General features: G+C 43.3%; 1 protein-coding gene across 2 annotated transcripts in view, besides 1 other annotated feature; it reads right to left on the reverse strand.

The window, feature by feature from the left end:
* Positions 1-25,071, reverse strand: part of SLC23A2 (solute carrier family 23 member 2) — a 157,956-nt gene that overhangs the window by 82,763 nt on the left and 50,122 nt on the right. The window lies entirely within an intron of this gene.
* Positions 14,432-14,481: a silencer, noted in NCBI's record as "silent region_12650". NCBI's record gives its function as "represses an Ori minimal core promoter by ATAC-STARR-seq in GM12878 lymphoblastoid cells {active_cell/tissue: GM12878}" and the evidence as "EXISTENCE:reporter gene assay evidence [ECO:0000049][PMID:35858748]".

Genomic DNA, 25,071 nt, shown 5'->3' on the forward strand with positions numbered 1-25,071 from the left:
AGTTTGCAGTGAGCCGAGATCGCGCCACTGCACTCCAGCCTGGGCGACAGAGCGAGACTCCGTCTCAAAAAAAAAAAAAAAAAAAAAGAAACCATACCAACACAAGCAGCTTACTGACAAAGGAAAGATAATATTAACATCAGACTTCTTATCATTAACAGTAAAAACTGGAGGAAAAAGTGATGTTTACAGCATCCAGAGAGAAATGAATGCAGAGCCTAAAATGCCACATCCAGACCACCTCAGGGGTCCCACCACCCTGCCACAGCCCCCGCCACTTACAGGTCCTAATTCATTCATCACAACTCTGCTGTTTAATAAGGATATGAAACTCTACCGCAGGGATCACTACAACACTGCAAAGTCTGATAGCCCTTAATATATAAAATCTGTGCAGGCCGGGCGCAGTGGTTCACGCCTGTAATCCCAGCACTTTGGGAGGCCAAGGCAGGCGGATCACGAGGTCAGGAGATCGAGACCATCCTGGCTAACATGGTGAAATCCCATCTCAACTAAAAATACAAAAAAATTAGCCGGGCGTGGTGGCGGGCGCCTGTAGTCCCAGCTACTGGGGAGGCTGAGGCAGGAGAATGGCGTGAACCTGGGAGGTGGAGCTTGCAGTGAGCCGAGATCATACCACTGCACTCCAGCCTGGGCGACAGAGCGAGACTCCATCTCAAAAAAAAATTAAAATTAAAGTTAAAAAAAATATATATCTATATCTATGTAGAAAAAATCTGTGCAAGTGGGTAATTTTTCAGATATGTTGCCATGCCTTGGTTCATGAGTTTTTCATGTCTGCTGGCAACCACAGAGCCTCTTTTGTGGCTTATCCCCTTATGTCCTTCGCCTATTTTCTATAATGTTTACAGAGCTTCATTTTAAGGATATTAATCCTTTACATCTTTGTTGTATTTGATGCAAACATTTTATCCCCGCTTTTTGTTTATGAATTTGGGGGATGACCTTTTGAGCTGCCAGAGTTGTCATCATGTTTGTGTAGCCAAATCCATCAGCCTTCTACATTGTGAGTTAGCCACTGCCACCCATCATCTTCCCAAAATCTGCAAAAAACCCAGAGTGAAAATAAACATACCTAAAAATAAAATCTGCCTGAAGGAGCCACAGTGGACCTCTGCCTTGAGACCACCAGAAGTTTATTTTTTCAGAAAATAAAACGGGCAAATAGGATAGTGAAATACTGGTAGATTTTTACATGGCCACATGCCATATAGTCACATTCCAAGGGACCAATAAGCTCTTTGTCCCACATCTAGCATGTCAGCAGAGCTTTCAAATCACCCTTATCTATATCAACTTTAGGGAAAATGATGGGACTTTTTTTCTTAAAGAGAGGGGGTCTCATTATGTTGCCCAGGCTGGTCTCAAAATCCTGGCCTCAAGCGATCATCCTGCCTCAGCCTCCCACGTAGCTGGGACTACAGGTGCAAGTCACCATGCCTGGCTAAGGAAACTGATGGGACTTTTTAAAGCAGAATAAATTTACTCTCCTAGGTTAAGTTCATCTTGGTGTTCCAGACATGAACATCCACTGCAGCAGCAAACCCCTCCCCACCGTCCCCAGCGCTAGGAACACACAGTTCCATCCCGACAAGAATACCTTCCAGCAAGTAACTGTGCTCCATTTCTCCACCACGCATTTAATTTAACCTCATAAGCTACAGTGGGGGAACCACTAATGCACTTCACCCACCTCTTCCAGAGTAGTGCCTGGAGTATCCTGAAGCCTTAGACCTGAAAGAGCACAGGAGAGGATGAGACTCATACAGCGCAGAGCAGTGATGTTCTGAGAAAGGCGTCAGGGAAGAGGACTGCAGGGCTCAGGAAGAGGGGAGCACCTTTCATCAGGGACAGTACATGGAGGAAGAACGAAGAAGGGGTGAGCAAAGAAATGTGTCCTTGGACACGCCATAAAAAGCCCAAAAGGACAGAGCATTCCACACCCCGGTGCACAAGGATGATGCAGACACTCTCAAGGTCAGAAAGTATGCGACAACCCGAGATCAGAGGGTTTATCCACACAGGATGAGCGTGGTGTGTATAAATGCCAAGGTCCAGCGGCAAAATGCAACAGATAAAAGGGGAGAGGTGAGGGAAGAGTGGAGTTTAACTTCTGTATTAAAACAAGAAGCAAAATCTCCCCGGGAATTTGACACTGGGGAAAGTGTGTGTGCCAACCCGTGGTCCCTCATTGCCCCTTTTCCTACCCTTTGCAAAAGAGAGAAAGAGAATGAGCAAATCCACTCGCTGTCTTGGCCTTAATACATGACAGTGGGGAAGGAGGAGCAGAGGGATAGAAGATCATGATGGCGACAATGGCAGTAATAACTGCAATTTTCCAGTTGCTAAGTGTCGGTGTGTGCCAGGCACTTCTCTGACCTCTTATTAAATAAATGACAGTTATTTCTGGCCAGTAAGCATAATATTACTTGGTTTGCACACAAACTCTACAAAAGTAGAAACTGAGCTTCAGAGAAGTCAAATAACTTGCCAAAGTATACACAGCTATAGGCAGTAGAACAGGATTCAAACTTGAATCAGTAATCTGAACCTGCCATTACACTGTTTATACAAGACATAAAACTGCCCTTTAAATGCTCAGCTTACAGCTGTTTTCCCTGGACAAACACAGCCCAGGCCAGCTGGCCTATACACACTGCCTCTGTGAGACTTGCTGGTGATTTTGCCCTCCTTGTGATTTTTGAGGGGGCACTGAGGGGCAGGAATCACCTTCAAGCTCCTTTTCCAGGGCTGATACCCACCCTCCTTGGACTAGGAACTCTCTAACATATGCACTTCTATTCACCTGCATGGCTGCTCCCTAGCACACATCACCATGGTCTCTCATCAACATCACAACAGCCACTTAACTCGTGTTCTCATTCCATCTTTTTTTTTTTTTTTTTTGAGATAGGATCTCACTCTGTTGCCCAAGCTGGAGTGCAGTGGCGCGATCACAGTTCACTGCAGCCTTGACTTCCCAGGCTCAGGTGATCCTCCCACCTCAGCCTCCTGAGTAGCTAGGACTACAGGCATGTGCCACACCTGGCTAGTTTTTGTAGAGATGAGGTTTCACAATGTTGCCCAGGGTGGTCTTGAGCTCCTGAGCTCAAGCAATCTCCTGCCTCAGCCTCCCAAAGTGCAGGGATTACAGGCATGAGCCACTGCACCTGTAATCCAGACTCATTCCATCTTTTTTTTTTTTTTTTTTTTTGAGACAGAGTTTCACTCTTGTTCCCCAGGCTGGAGTGCAATGGTGCGATCTCGGCTCACCACAACCTCCACCTCCCAGGTTCAAGCAATTCTCCTGCCTCAGCGTCTCGAGTAGCTGGGATTACAGGCATGCGCCACCATGCCCAGCTAATTTCGTATTTTTAGTAGATGTTGGCCAGTCAGGCTGGTCTCGAACTCCCGACCTCAGGTGATCCGCCCACCTTGGCCTCCCAATGCTGGGATTACAGGCGTGAGCCACCATGCCGGGCCCCTCATTCCATCTTGATGGCTCTAAACACTTGTCCAAATGGTAAGTAGCATGATGCTTCAACAGAAAATTACCATGCTCTTTGATGGCTTCCTAATTTAGAGTGACACCCAAATTCCTTCACAAGAGGTGACTATGGGGCCTATCCAGGCCCCCTTTCCCAGTCCCTCATGGCCCCTACTGTGGTTACTCACAGGCCTCTCCTATCTCTCAGGACCCTGCTCATGCCATCCCTCCAAAATAAGCCCCCTTCATCTCACCCCTTCTCACTGGGGTGACTCCCATCAATACTTCCTCTGATCACCACCTCATCATGATGTCAGAGGACCATGTGGAGGGCTGAGTGTGATGGCTCACATCTGTAATCCCAACACTTTGGGAGACCCAGGCAGAAGGACTGCTTGAGGCCAGGACTTTGAGAACAACCTGGGCAAGATAGCAAGACCCCATCTGTACAAAAAAAAATTAAGGTAAAATTTTAAAAGATGATTGTAACAAAGCAAGATCATGTCTATCTGTCTGCCTAGCCAGAGAGCTGTGGGAAACAGAAAGAAACAGTATCACAGCCTCACCATCTTACCTCCACCCCTGGTGCTGAACTTGGCACATATATTAAAGGTTCTCCAACGTTTGTGGACTGATAAATGATTTTTTTAAGGCATGTGGTATAATGTAAGAGTGGTTTTGTTTAATAATCTTACTACATCAAACCTATCTGTGACACAACAGATGTCAGGAACAAGTCGGGGGTGTCAACGTCACCACCATCAATGTACACCGACCAAGAAAGATGAGGGAAGTATTAGAAAAGTCCAAATTATAACTACATCAAAAGATATGAAAAATCTCAGAGAACCTACAATTACATAGCGAGTTACAAAACACATGAGCAAGCCTCTTTCGATGTGATTGAATCAAACATTTCCCAAATGCCAGCGACAAGCATCTGTATCAGCAGCTAGCTAGCCACCATCTGGCCTGTTTCTGTTAAGGTCCCTGCTAAAAATGGTTTTTACATGTTTAAAGGATTGTGAACAACAGCAAAGAAGAACATGTGACTGAGATCACCTGGCCCCTAAAGCCAAAGACATTTATAGAAAGGTTTGCCCATGCCTGACAATAATAGGATAAAGGAATCCTGCTCACCATGGCAAGAATAACGTTAAATACTTAAGGATAAATTAAATAAAAATATGTGTGACCTTTATGAAGAAAACGATAAAATATTACTGAGGGACATAAAAAGGATTTGAAAAACCAAAGAAACAGAGGATACTCTTCGATAGGAAAGGTACTGTAAGAATATTCATTTTCCAATTAACATAATCTACACAGATTTAATAAAAATCCATTAATACCCCCCCAACAGGTCAGAGGAGCTTGCTAAAAAATCCTCTAGAAGAATAAGCAAGGGCCAGGCATGGTGGCTCATGCCTCTAATCCCAACAGTTTTGGGAGGTGGAAGCAGGTGGATCACCTGAGCTCTGGAGTTTGAGACCAGCCTGGGTAACATGGCAAAACCCTATCTCTACCAAAAATACAAAAAATTAGCTGGGTGTGGTGGCATGCACCTGTGGTCTCAGCAACTCGGGAGGCTGAGATGGATCACTTGAGCCTGGGAGGTAGAGTTTGCAGTGAGCCAAGATCATGCCGCTTCACTACAGCCTGGGTGGCAGAGTGAGACCCCATCTCAAAATAACAACAATAATAATAAGCAAGGATAGCCACAAATATTTGAGAAATAGGAGGAGTGTGGTCAGTGAGATAAGAACCCTAATGTAAAGTTGTAATAAACAGAAGTTCAACAAGTATGAAAACAAAGTAACTATTAGTCATTAAAAAAAAAACCCAAAAACTGATGTACATATGATATGGCAGCACTTCAAATCATAAAACCAACTATACATGCCAAGACAATTGGTTACCACCAAGTAACAAAATCCAGAAAAAGTAAGACCTAACGTCTACATTTTAACATTGTTAAGAAAGCACAGAAATATTTATTGACATGGAAAGATGTTTACCCTGTTATATATGTGTTATTTTTTAACTTGCCTTTTTACATAACACAGGGTGAACATCTTTCCATAAAGTGAAACAAGCCAGTCACAGAAGGACAAATACTGCATGATTCCACTTACGTGAGGCGTCTAAAATAGTCAAATGCAGAAGCAGAGTAGGATGGTGGATTCCAGGGACTTGGGGGGGCGGTCAATGGAGAACTGACTTCAACAGGTTAAAGGTTTTAGGTTGCCAGGTACGGTGGCTCACGCCTGTAATCCCAGCACTTCGGGAGGCCAAGGCAGGAGGACTGCCTGAGGTCGGGAGTTCAAGACCAGCCTGGCCAACATGGTGAAAACCCGTCTCTACCAAAAATACAAAAGTTAGCTCAGCGTGGTGGTGCACGCCTATAAGCCCAACTACTTAGGAGGCTGAGGCACAAGAATCACTTGAACCCAGGAGGCGGAGGTTGCAGTAAGCCGAGATTGCACCACTACACTCCAGCCTGGGCGACAGAGCAAGACTCTGTCTCAAAAAAAAAAAAAGTTTCAGTTACACAACATGAGCAAATTCTAGAGATCTGCTGGACCACACTGTGCCTATAATTAACAATACGTCGGTCAGGCATGGTGGCTCATGCACGCCTATAATCTTAGTACTCTGGGAGGCTAAGAGTGGGACGATTGCTTGAGGCCAAGAGTTCAAGATCAGCCTGGGCAACATAGTAAGATTCCATCTCTACAAAAAATGAAATTTTTTTAAATTAGCCAGAAAACAAAACAATACCATATTGTACACTCAAAAAGTTGTCGGCTGGGCCTGTAATCCTAGCACTTTGGGAGGCCAAGGTGGGCAGATTACCTGAGGTCAGGAGTTCGAAACCAGCCTGGCCAACATGGTGAAACCCATCTCTACTAAAAATATAAAAAATAGCCAGGCGTGGTGGAGCATGCCTGTAATCCCAGCCACTTGGTAGGCTGAGATAGGAGACACACTTGAACCCAGGAGGCAGAGGTTGCAGTAAGCCAAGATCCCACCACGGCACTCCAGTCTGGGTGACAGGGTGAGACTCTGTCTCGAGGAAAAAAAAAAAAAAGTTGTTAATAAGGTAGATCTCGTGTTAAATGTTCTTATCATAATAAAAATAAAAAAATAAAAAGAATGGTAGAAGATACTAGTTTTGAGTGAAAAAAGTTATTTCATAAGTGAAAAGAATTAAAAGCAATATATATAATGAAAAAGATAGTATGTACAGCATTAACCCACTGTGTATGTGTAAAGTATGTGGCCATGTATACACACACCAAAATGTTAACCAAAATGTTGAGTGATAGAAACACAAATGACTTATTTTCCTGTTTTTACTCCTCTATATTTTCTAAACTAACTTAACTACAAAAGATGGGCCCAATTTCACCCCTAAGAGCCTCATGGTGTCCACATTAGCACCAGTTCTTCCTTACTCCTCAGACTCAAGTCCAGGGGAAAGGCTGGTTCCCCTTACAGCATCTACCCCCTTTACAATGTAATGCAAGCAAATCAATTCAGTCCTTTCTGCTGTGAGCTCAGGATACAGCAGTGCGGAATAATGTCCTCATGTTTAAAGTTCTAAAATAACTTTGGGTTTCAGAAGAGAGTGGAGAAAAGCCAAGGTGCTACAAATTATACTTGGTATCTAGATTTCTTAAAGCTCCCTGCAGCCAAAGTTAAAAATCACTACCTTAAAGGAAGCAGGAAATCGCTACAGTCTCAAAAAAAAAAAAAAAAAAAAAGTCGCCTGGAAATAAATGTAAACCTGACAGATAAAAAAAATCAGCCATCTGGAAAATTCTGTTATGAGGAAGTAGAAAAGTAAAATAAAATATTTAGACGTGTAACAAATCTTCCAATTCCCTAAGGACTGAATCACTAGCTCTCCACCCACCAACAATCACGCACAAATGCAGAAGCTTTTAATCAGTACTTGTTTCATCAGCTATTCAGCCTGTAATGATTTCTTTTGAACTTCATTTTATCCGACCATCTCTCCCTGTCCAGGAAACAGAGTCACCCCTCTCACTGTGGCTTAGCAGGGCCACCTGAAGGAGAAATGTGATGGCACTGTCCAGAAGTTTTCAGAGCTGAGCTATTCGTGGAGTTAAATACCAAAACCTTCTGTGTTTCTCGAAAGAACCACCAAATCCTAAGAAAAACCTGTCCTTTCATGATCAGCACCTAGCAGAGTGAGCAGGTAACACAGAAACCCTCCAATGGCTGAATGAATTAATCACTAATAGTCTGCCCAAAGAGTAGAATCCCCCTATGTAAAATTCATCTTTAAGGCTGGGCACAGTGACTCCCAACGCTTTGGGAGGCCTAGTTGGGAAGATTGCTTGAGGCCAAGAGTTCGAGATCAGCCTGAGCAACATAGCGAGACTCTGACTCTACAAAAAATAAAACATAAAATTCATCTTTATATTCCCAGCTCCTAGTACAGAATAGACAGATGCTCTTTACAAGGAAGTACACAGGGCGGGGGGTGGGGCGGTGTGGAGAAGATAGATGTTCCATAAATGCTAATGAAATTTACATTTACTCCAAGTAGACGGCACTGAATAAATACTATATCAGAAATATAAATCCATGGCAAATCCATCATTTGCTCTAGACAAAAACCCACACTTCTCCAAAAGGATACGAGAGAGAGGAAGAGCCAGAATAAGAATCAGTGGCTCATGTGCTTAAGACTCACATGGGAAGCTTATTTAAAATATACACTTCTGGGCCAGGCACGGTGGATCACACCTGCAATCCCAGCACTTTGGGAGGCTGAGGCAGGCGGATCGCTTGAGCCCAGGAGTTCAAGACCAGCCTGGGCAACGTGACGAAACCCCATTTCTACCAAAAAAAAAAAACAGAAAAATTAGCCAGGCATGGTGGTATCCGCCTGTAGTCCCAGTTATTTAGGAGACTGAGGTGGGAGGATGGCTTGAGTCCAGAAGGTAAAGGTTGCAGTGAGCTGAGACTGCACGACTACACTCCAGCCCAGGCAACAGAGTCAGACTCTGTCTCAAAAAAAAAAAAAAAAAGACAGATTTCTTTCACACAAATACATGTAAGACAAAAATTTGACACTGTTTTATTTATAACAGCCCCAAACTAGAAACATCCAAAGAGCCATCAAGAGGTGGACGGGTAAGCAAATCATGGTGGGTCCATCAAAAGGCATGCTAGTTAGCAACAAACCAGAGAGCGTCTGCTGACGTGCCCGACAGCACAAGGGAGCTGCACAGACATTTCGTTAAAGCAGCCAGACACGAGACATGCAGTCTGATTCTCAAAAGACAAACCATTCTACGGGAAGCGGAGAGTGGTTACCTAGGGCAAGAATGGAGGAAAGGGCTCCCCAGGGAAAGGATGGAACCTTTGGAATGATAGAAATCTACTGTTTTGACTGTGATTCTGGTGGCTCCATTTGGATGTATATCCACTTGCTCTATGTAAACACTATCGCAATAAAATTGACTTTAGAAGACTAAAAGAATTAAAAAACCCTGTAATCCCACCAATTTTAAAAATGTCCCCTCCTCATATTCTAATCCTATAGACCTACCTTGGGGGCTTGGGAACCTGTATTTTTGTTTGTTTGTTTGTTGAGATGGAGTCTTGCTCCGTCGCCCAGGCTGGAGTGCAGTGGTGCAGTCTCAGCTCACTGCAACCTCCACCTCCCGGGTTCAAACAACTCTCTGCCTCAGCCTCCCAAGCAGCTGGGATTACAGGTGTGCCCCACCACACCCGGCTAATTTTTGTATTTTTAGTAGAGACAGGGTTTCACCATCTTGGCCAGGCTGGTCTTGAACTCCTGACCTCGTGATCCACCTGCCTTGGCCTCCCAAAGTGCTGGGATTACAGGCATGAGCCACCGCACCCGGCCAGGAACCTGTATTTTTAACAAATGCACAAATATTCTCATGCTAGAGGTCCTCAGATCACCCACACCTTGGGATAGGCAATCTTGGCTGGGAAAAAGCTATTGTCTGCACTTCTTTAAACCAATCCAGACAGGGGAAGAATATGACTAAGAAGGAGTGCCCTCTGGGATAAGGACACTCAAAACCTCAGCCTGCCAAGTGCTACTTTGGTTCTCACTAAGACACAAGAGCTTTCAGGGCCGGCTAGGTTCAATGATGAAGCACATTTCAAAAGCCAATCCATGGCTCTTTGCTTAAATCCCATTAAGGGGATTATAATCAAACTGTGGCTGCTCCATTAAGTTCTGTTAAATGCTAACATTTGACCTAAATGCTTTTAATTCAAGTCAGAAAAGACTGTTGGAACATATGCCCTCAACTTGTAGGTGTGGTGAGGGCTAGTTTTGAATGAAACGCTCTGAATTCTCAAAAAAAAAAAAAAAAAATCTTCAACTTGTATATGATCAACTTCCTTTGAATGAAATGACTTAACTGGTTACCTAATACACAGAGTCCGACTTCAGGGAGTTTGCAATTCTGATGCTGATCCTAGCTATAATTATTCCATTTAAAGCTCCAAGCAGCAACGAATGAACTTGTAAGCAGTGGTGATTATTTGATCTTGTGATGACAAGTATGCTCACAGCATGTGACTGAATTTAAAAAAAAAATAACAATCATCCTGCAGTCTTCTCCAAAACACTGCAGGAACTCTTGATCTTGTTTGTTTGTTTGTTTGTTTGTTTGTCTTTTTTGAGACACAGTCTGGCTCTGGCACCCAGGTTGGAGTACAGTCAAGCAATCGCAGCTCACTGCAACCTCCCACCTCAGCCTCCTGAGTAGCTGTGACCACAGGCATGCGCCACTATGCCCAGCAAATGTTTGTATTTTTTGTAGAGACAGGGTCTACTTGTTGCCCAGGCTGGTCTCGAACTCCTGAGCTCAAGCAATCCTCCCGCCTCAGCCTCTCAAAGTGCTGGGATCACAGGCATGAGCCACCATGCCTAGCCAGCGCTCATTTTTCAAACCGCAAGTCAGTACCTACTAGTAGGTCATGAAATTAAATTAGTGGATCTTGACCAGAATTTTTAAAACAATGGCATTTGACAGAACAAAAAACTTCAGAGCATATCTCAAAAGACAGGGGTAACCGAGAGTGTCAAGGTAAAATGCTTCATGCTGTGGGTCAGGGGAAAAGAGTCTGCAAGTCACTGATGGAAAAACTCTGCACACTGACATGAAAGGCATGTTCCAAGTGCCCGACTTAAATCAGATTATTTACTGACCTTAAACTAACATGCCCATAGAAATATTGTGCCAAAGTGAGAAAGCGGTATAAGATGATGGCACTGATGACAAAATATCATCATATTCCCCTGCCACAATGATGGAGGGGGTACCCAGAATTGCAGCACCAGGGTGGCCTTATAATTAATTACAATAATCTACCAGAGCCCTAAACCAAACTACCCCCAATGACTGCAATGGAAGGAATCTCCTTTGCACCCTAATGTGCCATCTCAGCCTTCTGTCACTGTCTCAGTTTGTGGACTTAATTCTTTTAAGAGTTGGAAATGTTTTAAAGGAAGCCAGATAAAACCTGGATTTCTGAGAGGGAACATAGGTACCACTGCCAAGTTCCATCTCAGAAACCAGTTTCCATCTGTAGCGAGCCCCAGGAGTAATGATCCCTTAGAGGCCACTCCCAGGGCCCCAAGAGGGGTCCTGACAGTAGCAACCCTGCTCTGACTGTAGAAAAAAAGGGTCCCTGGGCAAACACTGTACTAGTTAGAAATAATCTAAAAATGGGTTCTCAGGTCCTCACCAGTGGGCCAGAGAGGATGCGATGCCACTGGATAAACGTGGGAAATTTTCCTGAAACATCCATGGGGTGAGTTGGGTGGGGAGGATCATTCCTAACTGACAGCAAATAGTTTATGGCACATAAAGTAAAATGCACAACTGACAGAATGAAACAAGATGTTGAAGAATGGGCTCTGCCTACAGAAGATCCCTTCAGTCCAGCCCAAAGACTTAGTCCCAGAAGCTCTGGTACAGACAAGCTCTAGTCCCAAATGCAACACTAAATCCTAAAAAAGCTCCTGAGTCCAGCCTGAGACACGTCATTTTGCTGCCATCGAATTATGCATGAGCCATGAAAGGTGATGGTCATGGTATCTAGGTGACAAGACGATAACTCATTTGCCTGCTTGTTCAGAAGAGCGATGGAGTCTGAGAAAGTAAAATGTCAGAGTGGTGTATGCTTTGTTTGTTTGGGGGTTTAAGATACAAAGTCATCCGCAGTCTTTCTTTTTCTAACCTAATGCTATAGCAAACAGATGCTACAGCGCCTACTGTACCTGGTATCTTTCAGCAGAAGTTTTCTTTCCAAAACTTTATTTAAATAAAATTATAACAAGACCATCTTAAGCCTCGTCATCCTGGCCATTTCTCCTCAGTGCCAGGTGCTGCCCACACTGCCCACGCTGACCTCCAGAGTTCCCAGGTCTGGGCTCAAGAGACCTCCTCCTCCAGGGAGCACTCCTGGGTCAGCTGTCCGTCTTCTGTGTTTCCATGGTTCCCAGCTTCCTGTCCGCTCCCCACCAGAATGAGATGGCAGCAGGGACACAGTGTCCAATGCATAAAAGGCATTCAAATACTTGGGGAAATCCCTGACTCGTTCAGGGAAATCTTGTGGCTGGGACGTGAAAGGGGAAAGGGAGGGGCAGTATAGCAAAAAGTGCAGCCTGCATGACAAAATTAAAATCTGAATGTACATTTTAGCAAACTAAAGCAGAACAAAGATGAGTTTTATTGCATTTATTTCTACTACGTGATTTAACACATCACTTTTTGCACACATGGTGCTTTTTATTTCAACACTATTTAAAATGTATTAATCATCAGTCATCACAGGAGCCACTGAAAAGCTAATTTTATATGGAATTTTAACAACAAGATAAAAACATGTGCATAATGAACTATCAAGTCCCAGGCACAAACATGGTTTCACTTAGCCCTTATAAAAATTCTGGGAGGGGTTGTTATTCTCTCCATTTCACAGATGAGAAACTGGAGCACAGAGAGGTTGATTTATCTCTGCAAAAAAGCTCAGGGCCAATGTTGTGGGTCCAACAATCATTCTGGAAGACAAACGTTGTTCGTGTTACCTTCCAAGCTAAGAGAACGAGACTCTGAAGAAAAGGCCAAAAGACCAGAATAGGCCTGAGAAGGTCATATCTAAAAGTCATTCTGAAGGAAGCTGAGGAAAATTTGTGAGTTACTTTCAGGGAATAGAAAGAATGCTTTCTTCTCTTCCAGGTCTCCAGATGCCTTTTGTCATTTGATGCTCCCCCTGGCTCACCCAATACAAAAATCTTGGGAGCCTGGATAACTTCCAGGAGATGGCTGTGCCCTGCTGATTCAGTCCCACTGTGTCTGGGATGCCTGCTCCATCCTCTTTCCAGCACAGTCCCTGAAGAGGAAGCCTCAGTAGGGCACTTGGTCACCTCCAGCTACTGTTGCCAGAGCTGCCCCTGCTGGGAGAAGGCAGGCTCAGGTGCTGGGAGAAGCATCTCAAGTAACTCAACGGACTCACCAGCCCTCTCTGTGATCTGCTCTTCAGACCATGTCATTCTCCAAGGACCAAAGCCAAATTTCCTTCTTTCACCTGCAGAGAAAGATCCAGCTCCACTTTGCCTCTATTTCCTAACTACCCAATTACGCCTGCTTGGTTTTGCTGGACTTTGGCCCATTTATTCAGTCCTCTCAACACCAACCACTTTCCCGGTCTCATCTGGAAGACATTCCATTTGCAAATCTCTTGTGCAGTACTGTTTCTCCCCACCACACCATACCCCCTGCTCCCCACTAGTCCAGTATACCAAGAGTTCCTCTTCCCTGCAGACTCTCCCAAGATAAGGAAAAGGGAGCTCTGAGGGATTCACCTGCTCTAATAGATTACCTAAGGGCTGAAGAGTGGGTTTGCCTAAACTGCACTGCAATTATCTGGGGCTGGGACACTAATTCTTCCCCAGGTTAACACCACATACGTGGTGATCAAAATTATTGCAAAGCTTTTCCCTGATCTTCAATAAATGGGAGGCTTTAAATATTCCATGCCTGTATGTTATACACTCTTTTTCCTGCACAGGAGTGTGTTCTTCCTAAGCAATTCATTAAAAATTATATTCATTAAATACAGAGACTGCAATCACTTAGAATTGTATGCTACAGATGTCTTGCTTTTTTCTGGTATCTGAACCTGACATTTTTTAATAACCCAAAGACCTTAAAAGAATTAAAAATATATCTGCACTCAGCTATAAGACACTCTAGCTCTCCATGAAGTTTGTTTCACTTATATTCCTTTTTGGTTGTTTACTTACTTTTCATCAGACTTCTGAAACTCTGCATAGAAGGAAAACATAGGCTGGGCACGGTGGCTCACACATGTAACCCCTGCACTTTGGGAGGCCAAGACGGATGGATTACCTGAGGTCAGGAGTTTGAGACCAGCCTGCTCAACATGGTGAAACCCCATCTCTACTAAAAATAGAAAAAAAGTAGCCAGGCGTGGTGGCAGGCACCTGTAATCCCAGCTATTTGGGAGTCTGAGGCGGGAGAGTTGCTTGAACCTGGGAGGCGGAGATTGCAGTGAGCCGAGATCGCACCATTGCACTCCAGCCTGGGTGACAGAGCGAGACTCCATCTCAAAAAAAAAAAAAAAAAAGGAAAACATAAAAGAACACACAGCAGAGCTTTGGCAATCCTGGCACTAGATTGGACTCTGAAAATAAGTAATTTACTTACATCGTTTTTACTTTATTTACTCTGGAAAGTAAATAAGCACCTGAAAAACACAGAAATTTTACTCGCTGCAGATGAAGTTTTTATTGCTATTCTCTCTCACATACCTAAGGGCGGTGCCTTCTAAGAAGTGCATAAATGTTAATGTTCAGTTTTTGATATTTAAATTATGTCTGACAGCACTAAGAAACCCTTTGGAGATTTTCTAGTAATGCAGCTGTGCAAAACTGAGAACTTCTCACCCACCTACACAGGCACAGTCACACACACACAGGCGCGCACACACACAGAAACAGACATATATGTAGAAAATCAGAAACATCACCAGAGATACAAACACTCAGATACTCACATGGAAACAGATACACGCAGACCCAAATGCACACAGACACAAACAGATAGTAATCAATCTGTATATCCTCACAACTCATTCCCCAAAGCAGAACCGCCAAATGGCCTTACCTTCAAAGTGAAACTCCACCCTTCCACAGAAATGTCCTCTAATCAGTGCGTCACCCACCACTTCTGTGCCGGTGTCTGTGCAACCCTGCGATTGTCCTGGTACTCAGCATGAGACGCTCTCAGGTGCTGAAGGAATTTCAGCTTTTATAACCCACACAGGCTGGCCAAAATTGTATAACCGCACCACCTCATTAGAAATGCTATTTGTGTTACACAACAGCCACCACCCGGTTACAAACAGTTACTGCATGCCTCTATTATGGTTTCCTTAACATCAATCTGTAGCAGGTTTCTCCATGGCAGGCTGGATAGTCTATTGTAGAAACCAAGCAGCTGCTGAGAATACGTCTCAAACCTGCACTAAGAAGGAAAATTAAAACCTATCTTTGTAAACCCTTCAGTTCAGATGAATAAGTCCACCCATGCTGCTTCCAGCTCAGTGAAAAGGGAGATTAATTTTACTACCTGGTAAGTTTCCATTTCCCCAATCAGGGCCCAAAGACAATTGTTTTCAAAGCTCAAAAAATTTCAGATCTCAAGGTAGGAGTTCATCATTAAAAGGTAGGCAAAGCCAACAAGTAACTGTCACATTGGAGAGCTGACTGCTGGGGTCCAGTTCAACGTGGCATCCAGCAGGCAGGTCTCCACTGATTCCTACTGAACAGTGGAAGTACCCATGAAGACACAAAAGTGATGCATGCACACTGACAGTCTGACATCAGGACTAGGAAAGAAGTCACACCTGTGGCCAGACTTTGCCCTTCCCAGTCCTGACTCCAAGCCAGGGCCTACCAGGAACCTGGGCAGTGGGCACCCTCTGCCCTGTGGAATATGCAAATACCTGCCTCCATCTCCCTAACACCAGACTGCCCTTCCCAAATCCAGAAAGGGAACTCGAGGCTCAGATGACAAACAGCCAGGCAGAAGAGGCATCGACCATCAGCAAGGGACATCTTAGAAGATGGGAGTCCCTGAGATAAAGACAGAAAAAGAACCAGGACAATTCCTGGAGAAAAGCAGCTGTAAGTATTCCTCATTCACAGAAACTTTGAGGAGCTCAGCAGTGGGATAAGAGGATGACACCACCTGACCAGAAGTGACACCTTAGCAGAAACTGGGGAGAAGGTTGGGAGCCAGGTGCTTCAACTGCTCAGGGCAGGAGACCCACCACCACAAGCGCCCAGAACACAGGTCCGCACATGACACATCCAACCCATCAGGTCAACACGCCTAGGGGAGCCAAGAACGGTATTCAGGACATGCTGTGAAGACTCTAACATCAGAGAAGATTTGTTGCAGGAGCCAAAAGAAAATTTAAAACAAAAACAAAAACCCACAGTTGGAATAAAGGAAGAAAAACATTTTTTAAGTTGGTATTTTTTTAAAAGAGGAAACAAGATTGACAATTATATGGAGAAAATGGATCAAAAACAAGACGCTGAGGTGGGGAAGAACAGTAGGGAAATGAAGAACCAGCACTAACTCAGAAGTAAGCCAGAGAAATGGCATCACAAAAGACTGAAACGGAGGTGGGTGACAGACCTGAGAAACTCTGAGAGACAAGGAAAACTACAGAAAGGCTAAGGCTATTCCGAGACAGAGCTGGGCAGGAAAAAGCAAAGAACAAGGCCAAGCTGTGACTCATCAGTGCCTCTCAAGCAGACTTAGAAACAAAAGGGGCAATGAAGCCAGCTATGCTGTATGATTCCATTTACACAAAACATCCAGAGTAGGCAAATCCAGAGGCAGAAAGTTCATCGATGATTGCCTGGGGCTGGGGTGGGGATGGGAGTGACTATTCATGGGTTTTAGGATTCTCTGCAGGATGAAAAAAAGTGCTAAAATTGTATTGTGGTGATGGCTGTACAGCTTTGTGAATAACAGTATACTAAAAACCACTAAATTGTATATTTTAAGATGATGACTATCATGATGTGTAATACACCTCAATAAAACTTTTTCAAAAAGAACAAATGAGGTCGGGTGTGGTGGCTCACACCTGTAATCCTAGCACTTTGGGAGGCTGAGGCAGACGATCACCTAAGGTCAGGAGTTTGAGACCAGCCTGGCCAACACAGTGAAATCCCATCTCTACTAAACATACAAAAATTAGCTGGGTGTGATGGCACGTGCCTGTAATCCCAGCTACTTGTGAGGCTGAGGGCAGGAGAATCGCTTGAACCTGGGAGGCAGAGGTTGCAGTGAGCGAAGATTGCACCACCACACTCCAGCCTGGGCGACAGAGCAAGACTCTGACTCAAAAAAAAAAAAAAAAAAAAAAAAAGAACAAATGGAGCAGACTTCAATAACCTAATATAAAAGATGTAGACTAAAAAACTATTCTGAGATTAAGAAAAATCTGAGTAAAGGGACTAAAAGGGCATTCTAGGTTCATGCAAAATCATATACTTGGACACATCCTAGCAAAATAATTTAACCACAGGATGAAAGAATCGTAGACACATCCAGGGAGGAGAAAATGTTTGGTTTGCTTAAGTGTTAGCTTGAATTAAGCTTAGCACCTGGGTTGTCCACAGCAGTATTAAATGTCAGAAGACAATAACACAAACACAAACTGAGGGAAAGGTCTTAACAAGGAATTTTATACCCAGATAAGGTGCCCTTCATGTGTGAAAGCCAAACAAGATAGTTTTAGATGTGCATGAGCTCAAAAGAAAAGGAGGGAAAGAAAGCCTGAAGCTATATTCCAACCAGGTTGGAATATAGAAGTGGAATTCACAGAGGCCACTAACTAGTATACAAGACTGCTAAGCATGGATGCTAAAACCATCAAGATAGGGACAAAGCTAAATAATGAGTGTAAACCTGGTTATAAAACGCAATGCATAAGCCACATTGCTCTCTAAACATATGCTATATAAGAAATGTAATTAAATAGGCCAGGCGCAGTGGCTCACACCTGTAATCGCAGCACTTTGGGAGGCCAAGGCAGGTGGATCACGAGGTCAGGAGTTCAAGACCAGCCTGATCAACATGGTGAAACTCCATCTCTACTAAAAATACAAAAATTAGCCAGGCGTGGTGGCATGTACCTGTAATCCCAGCTACTCAGGAGGCTGAGGCAGGAGAATTGCTTGAACCCGGGAGGCGAAGGTTGCAGGGAGCCGAAATTGTGCCACTGCACTCCAACCTGGGTGATAGAACGAGACTCAAAAAAAAAGGCCTGGCGCGGTGACTCATGCCTGTAATCCCAGCACTTTGGGAGGCCGAGGCAGGCGGATCACAAGGTCAAGAAATCCAGACCACCCTGTCCAACATGGTGAAACCCCGTCTCTACTAAAAACACAAAAATTAGCTAGGCGTGGTGATGCGTGCCTGTATTCCCAGCTACTTAGGAGGCTGAGGCAGTACAATCACTTGAACCCGGGAGATGGAGACTGCAGTCAGCCAAGATAGCGCCACTGCACTCCAGCCTGGCAACACAGCAAGACTCCATCACAAAAATAATAATAATAAAATTAAATTAAATAAAAAAAGAAATGTAATTAAATAAAGCAGACAGAAAAGATTACATTAATAAAGACTGAAAACAGAGAGTAAGAAGATGCTAAAGCCCTTCTCCCAAACAGAAAGAATCATAGGCCTTAACTATGACAATTAGAGAAACGAGGTTTTTTTTTATGTTTTTCACTTAAAACCACTATTAGAATTTGAAACAGAATACAGACTAAAACACAGCTAGACCTGTGAGTTAAACCCATTTAATTAAAAATACTCAGATTGCATCAAAAAATAAATGCCAGCCGGATGCAGTGGCTCACGTCTGTAATCTTAGCACTTTGGGAGGCTGAGGTGGGCAGATTACTTGGGGTCAGGAGTTCAAGACCAGCTTAGCCAACATGATGAAACCCCATCTCTACTAAAAATACAAAAATTAGCTGAGTGTGGTGGCGCACACCTGTAGTTTTAGCTACTCGGGAGGCTGAGACAGGAGAATCACTTAAACGCAGGAGGCGGAGGTTGCAGTCAGCTGAGATTATGCCACTGCACACCAGCCTCAGCGACAGACAGAGACTGTCTCAAAAATAGATAAATAAAAATAAAATAAATGCCAACCCCCAAGATAGACCTTAAAGTGAAAAAAAGTAACACTAATGCTGCCTTATTATTTTTTAAATGTCAGACACAGTGGAATTCATGCCAAAAAGTATTAAGCAGGAGAAAGGATGTCATTTTACATTGCTAAAGGATAAAATTCACAAGAAGAATATGATGTCAGTCTTTACATTCTGAACATTCTTTCACTGAAATAAAGCCCATAATGGCTAGAAATAGAGAAGAAATGACCAACACTTCATAAACATATCTCTCTCCAAGAAGATAGGGGTAGGGAGGATATACAAGCATAGGCCCCATGTCCATATTAATTTTATTTTGTATTGATCACAGAATCTGACCAATAAAATGAATAAGGCTAATATAATAGATATCAAACTTTGCACCCCATAGAAAATAGCTTCATTTTCAATGGCTAAAGAGCATTTATGAAAAGTCACCATCTATCATGCCACAAGGAAAATTTCAAACCCCATGAAAAAAGGAACATTTCAGCTGGGTGCAGTGGCTCATGCCTGTAATCCCAGCACTTTAGGAGGCCAAGGCAGGTGGATCACCTGAGGTAAGGAGTTTGAGACCAGCCTGGCCAACATGGTGAAATCCCGTCTCTACTAAAAATACAAACAATTAGCCACGCGTGGTGGCGGGCGCCTGTAGTCCCAGCTACTCGGTAAGCTGAGGCAGGAGAATTGCTTGAACCTAGGAGGTGGAGGTTGCAGTTGAGCCGAGATTGTGCCATTGCACTCCAGCCTGGGTGACAGAGCAAGACTCCATCACAAAAAAAAAAAAAAAAAAGAAAGAAAGAAAGAAAGAAACCAAAAAGGCATAAAACTCAGTGTCAATTTTTGAATAAAACTCTTAGCACATTACACATGTTAAGAAAAAAGTCCTCGAAAAGAACCCTGATCTCATACCAAAGGCAATGAGATACATAACCTGAATGACACCCAGAGGGGTGCCCTTTAAAGACAGAAACAGGAGTCTGGTGGGTGCCATTATAGAAGACTGTTCCGGAAGTTCTAGCCAGGACAATAAGAAAAAGATTTTGTTTGAGCACGGTGGCTCAGGTCTGTAATTTCATTGTTTTGGGAGGCCAGAAGGATCACTTCAGGCCAGTTCAAGACCAGCCAGGGCAACGTAACAAGACCTACTCTCTATTTAAAAAAAAAATTATTTTTTTAATTAGCTGGACATGGTGGTGCATGCCTGTGGTCCCAGCTACTGGGAAGGCTGAGGTAGGAGGACTGGCTTGACTCCATGAGTTTGAGGCTGCAGTGAACAATGACTACATCTCTGCAATCCAGCCTGGGCAACAGAGTTAAGACCCTATCTCTAAAAAGAAGAAAAAAGAATTTGAAAGCTCAAATAATGGAAAAGGGAAAGCAAAATAATTATTTATAGGTAATGCATCTGTCTACCCAGAAAATGAGTTAAAACACACACACACACACACACACACACACACACACACACACACCCTAGAATAAGATACTTCAGAAAGATAGTAAGTTATAAAATGAATATACAAAAAATTCCCATACATGAGCACTAACTCGTGATTCCCCTCTCTTTAAAGTACCGTATAGGTTGGGTGCGATGGCTCATGCCTGTAATCCTAGCACTTTGGGAGGCCAAGGTAGGAGTAACACTTGACCTCAGGGGCTCGAGACCAGCCTGGGAAACATAGTGAAGCCCTGTCTCTACAAAAAATACAAAAAAATTAGCCGGGTATGGGGGCAGTGCCTTTAGTCCTAGCTACTTGAAGGGTTGAGGTGGGAGGATCGCTTGAGCGTGGAGGTCGAGGCTGTAGTGAACAGAGATGGGGCCGCTGTACTCCAGCCTGGGTAACAATGTGAGATTCTGTCTGAAAAATAATTTTTTTTTTTAAAAAAGTACTGTATATATACATGTGCGATTGAGCTTTAAAAAAAAAAATGGCTATGCACCAAGCAGCTTATGGTGGTAATCTCTATAATATAGGGGTTACGGGTGTTTCTTTTTGTGTTTATCTGCATTCTTAAAATTTTAGTTATATCCCTCTCCTTATATTAGGAGGAAAAATTATCAATAGCTCAATTCTTAGTATGTATGTATGGTTAGAAAACTCAGGGCAGAAAATAGGGCAAAACAACTAAAATGCTAAATATGGACAAATACAAGAAAAAAACTTTTAATTCTTCAGAAATAATTTTGCATTTGAAAATATCTAATCTGATTAACATAATCTCTGATTTGTTTTCCTTTTATGAATAAAATCTAAAATGTGTTTTTCTTTTAATTCCACATTTGGAATCATCATTTCTGTCTTTCCAGATAAATGTTAGATATTGACATTTCTGTGCCCCTGCTGTTGTAAAACTGAGTAAAACAACAAAAGAGATTCAAGATTATCAGCTAGACAAAACCTACTTTGACTCTGTAATAAGACAAGGGGGCAGATGCTAGAAATGCTAAAAGCAAATGCATTAACAGCACCCTCTAGTGTTACGAAATCTAATGGCACTTGGTAGAAGAAACCTAAATGTAAGATTTTTAAAAACTTCTTCTGGAAAATTTCAAACATACAGAAAAGTAGACAAAATGAAAACACATTTTCATTTCATATTCAATTTGCTTCCAATTACTGACTGTTCTTACTCTTGTAGCAACTTTTATATTTCATTAAGAGGTGTCAGAGGCAACCAGGTATCTCTGTGGGCCCTTCTCTGCCATTCGATTAGTAATTCAACTAATAAAATCCTTGGTTTTAAGTTGGGCACACAACCAACTAAATTAACTGAGGCAACATTTCCCAGGCTCCCTTGCAGCTAGATGCAGCCAGCCTTAGCCAACGGATATGGGTGAAAGTAAGCATGCCCTCCCCTCTCCCTTCCCTCTTCTTTTTTTTTTTTTTTTTTTTTTCTGAGACAGAGTTTCACTCTTGTTGCCCAGGCTAGAGTGCAATGGCGCGATCTTGGCTCACTGCAACCTCTGCCTTCTGGGTTCAAGCGATTCTCCTGCCTCCGCCTCCCAAGTAGCTGGGATTACAGGCATGTGCCACCATGCCCGGCTAATTTTATATTTTTAGTAGAGACGGGGTTTCTCCATGTTAATCAGGCTGGTCTCGAACTCCTGACCTCAGGTGATCCACCCACCTTGGCCTCCCAAAGTGCTGGGATTACAGGCGTGAGTTACTGCGCCCGGCCTCCTTCCCTCTTCTTACTGGCTGCAGGAACCACCTTGGACTATGTAAAAGAATCAATACTCTAAGAAGCCAAGCATAGTGGCTTATGCTTATAATCCCAGTGCTTTGGGGGGCTTGAGTCAGGAGGGTCACTTGAGGATAGGAGTTTGAGACCATCCTGGACAACACAGCAAGACTCCCATCTGTACAAAAAAATTTTTTTTCTAATTACCTGGGCATGGTGAGGTGTGCCTGTTATCCCAGCTACTCAGTAGGCTGAGGCAGGAGGATGGGTTGAACCTAGGAGTTCAACGTTCAGTGAACTATGATCATGACACTGCACTCAAGCCTGGATGACAGAGCGACACTATCTCTAAAAATTAATTTTAAAAATAAGAATCAATACTCTAGAAATTTTAAAGAGGGGGATAGATTATGTGAGGAAAAAACTTTGATGGTCTTATCCCAGCATGTCAGAGCAGCTAAAACTATAACCTCAAAAAAAAAAAAAAAGAAAAGAAAAAAAACCCAACAGGCTGAGCGCAGTGGCTCACACCTGTAATCCCAGCACTTTGGGAGGCCAAGGCGGGCAGATTACCTGAGGTCAGGAGTTCAAGACCAGCCTGGCCAACATGGTGAAACCCCATCTCTACTAAAAATACAAAAATTAGCCAGACATGGTGGTGGGCGCCTGTAATCCCAGCTACTCGGGAGGCTGAGGCAGGAGAATCCCCTGAAACCGGAATGCAGAAGTTGCAGTGAGCCAAGATCGTCCCACTGCACTCCAGCCTGGGCAACAGAGTGAGACTCCATCTCAAAAAAAAAAAAAAAAAACTTATTAAATTGGCTTCTTTGGCAGACACTTAAAGCCTGGCCACTCAAAACCTGGCCACTCAACCATAATCTCAAGCCATGATTCAGAATGTGTGCTGACAAGCACATACCACAATTCCAGCAATGAAGTAAAAACACTTCATCCAACTCTCAAAGCAAATCCACTGTGAAGACTGTCTGCACCCTTCCAGCTCAAGACTCACATTACAGTGTGTCCTAGTTAGCAGGCTGCAGTAGAAGGGTTAGTGGTAAAGCATCACTGCACTGGCATCCGTGCCCCTCACTGGAGACCATGCATGGTGCAGTATGTGCAGGAAAGTCATTAACCAGTGAGCCGAAAATGCCTCTGTAAAATAAGATTGCTGCCCTACTCCTGTAGTTTCTGCACTTCTCTTTTTAGTACTGGAATGAGTATTCTCAGATTAAATCTTATTTAAAGCCTAGAGGGGAGGGGGAGAAATCACACCAGTAGGTGGATGGCATCATTAAAATGGAGGTTTAACATTCTTCACTATAAAGTTTTAACATACATTTTCCAGAAATAAAATAGTCCAACTAGTAAATGAAAAATTCTATGTATTTCTTAGCAACAAAATACATTTATCTAATTTTCTAGCAGTAGCTGCAAATGTTTATTTATCTTTTTTTTTTGAGACCGGGTTATGAGACTGGCTAATTTTTGTATTTTTGGTAGAGATGAGGTTTCACCATGATGCCAAGGTTGGTCTCAAACTCCTGAGCTCAAGCAATCGACCTGCCTCGGCCTCCCAAATTGCTGGGATTATAGGTGTGAGCCACCGCGCCTGGCTGAGTAGCTGCAAATGTTACGCTGTACTATACCATCTCTTTACTATTTGGTTACCCTAACACAATGCTCTGATTTTGAATTAAAGAGAAAGAAAAAAAGATCATCCAAGAGCAAGAAGGGCAAAAATCAATTACTTTAAATAACTTTAAAATACAATTTGATTTTTAAGTTTCATTCTTTGGATTAAAAAGCTGTATGAAAGGGCCAGGTGTGGTGGCTCATGCCTGTAATCCTAGCACTTTGGGAGGCCGAGGTGGGCAGATCACCTGAGGTCAGGAGTTCAAGATCAGCCTGACCAACACAGAGAAACCCGTCTCTACTAAAAATACAAAAAAAAAAAAAATTAGCTGGGCATGGTAGCACATGCCTGTAATCCCAGCTACTCAGGAGGCTGAGGCAGGAGAATCACTTGAACCCAGGAGGCAGAGGTTGCAGTGAGCCAAGATTGTGCCATTGCACTCCAGCCTGGGCAACAAGAGCAAAACTCTGTCTCAAAAAAAAAAAAAAATGGTGTATGACATACCTATTAAAATGGCTAGAACAAAAACAGACAATACCAAGTGCTGACAAGTTACTGGAACTCTCATACTCTTGGGTGGGTATGCAAAATGGTACAACTACTTTGGAAAAACCATTTGGTCATTTCTTATCAAGTTAAACATAAGTTTCCATAAGACCCAGCAATACTACTCCTGGGCATCTATGGCTGAATGAAACCTTACGTTCAGACAAGAACATGTACATAAATGTTAATAATGGCTTTATTTTTTATTTGTATTTATTTATTTTGAGACAAGGTCTCACTCTGCTACCCAGACTGGAGTGCCGTAGTACAATCACGGCTCACTGCAGCCTCAACCTCCCGGGCTCAAGTGATCCTCCCATCTCAGCCTCCCAAGTAGATGGGACTATAGGTGTGCGCTACCACACCTGGCTAATTTTTCTAATTTTTGTAGAGATGAGGTTTCGTCATGTTGCTCAGGCTCTTGCCCGGGCTCAAGCAAACCTCCCGCCTTGACCTCCAGATCACTGGGATTACAGGCGTGAGTCACCATATCAGCTATTTTTATTTTTAGACACAGGGTCTCTCTCTGTCACGTAGGCAGGATTACAGTGGCAGGCTCATAGCTCATTGCAGCATCAAACTCCTGAGCTCAAGCAATCCTCCCACCTCAGCCTCATAAGTAGAGAGAACTACAGATGTGTACTGCCATACTCAGCTAATTATTTTTTATTGTCATTGTTTTTGTAGAGATGAGGTCTCGCTATGTTGCCCAGGCTGGTCTCAAACTCCTGAGCTCAAGAGATTCTCCCACCTCAGCCTCCCAAAGTGCTGGGATTACAACTGTGAGCTATCATACCTGGCCTCTAGCGGCTTTATTTATAATAGCCAAAACCTGGAAACAACATTCACCTTTAACTAGTAAACATCAACTAGTGAATATCCACAAACCACATGGCCTAT

This window comes from Homo sapiens, chromosome 20, assembly GCF_000001405.40.
Source record: "Homo sapiens chromosome 20, GRCh38.p14 Primary Assembly".
Classification (NCBI taxonomy): Eukaryota; Metazoa; Chordata; class Mammalia; order Primates; family Hominidae; genus Homo; species Homo sapiens.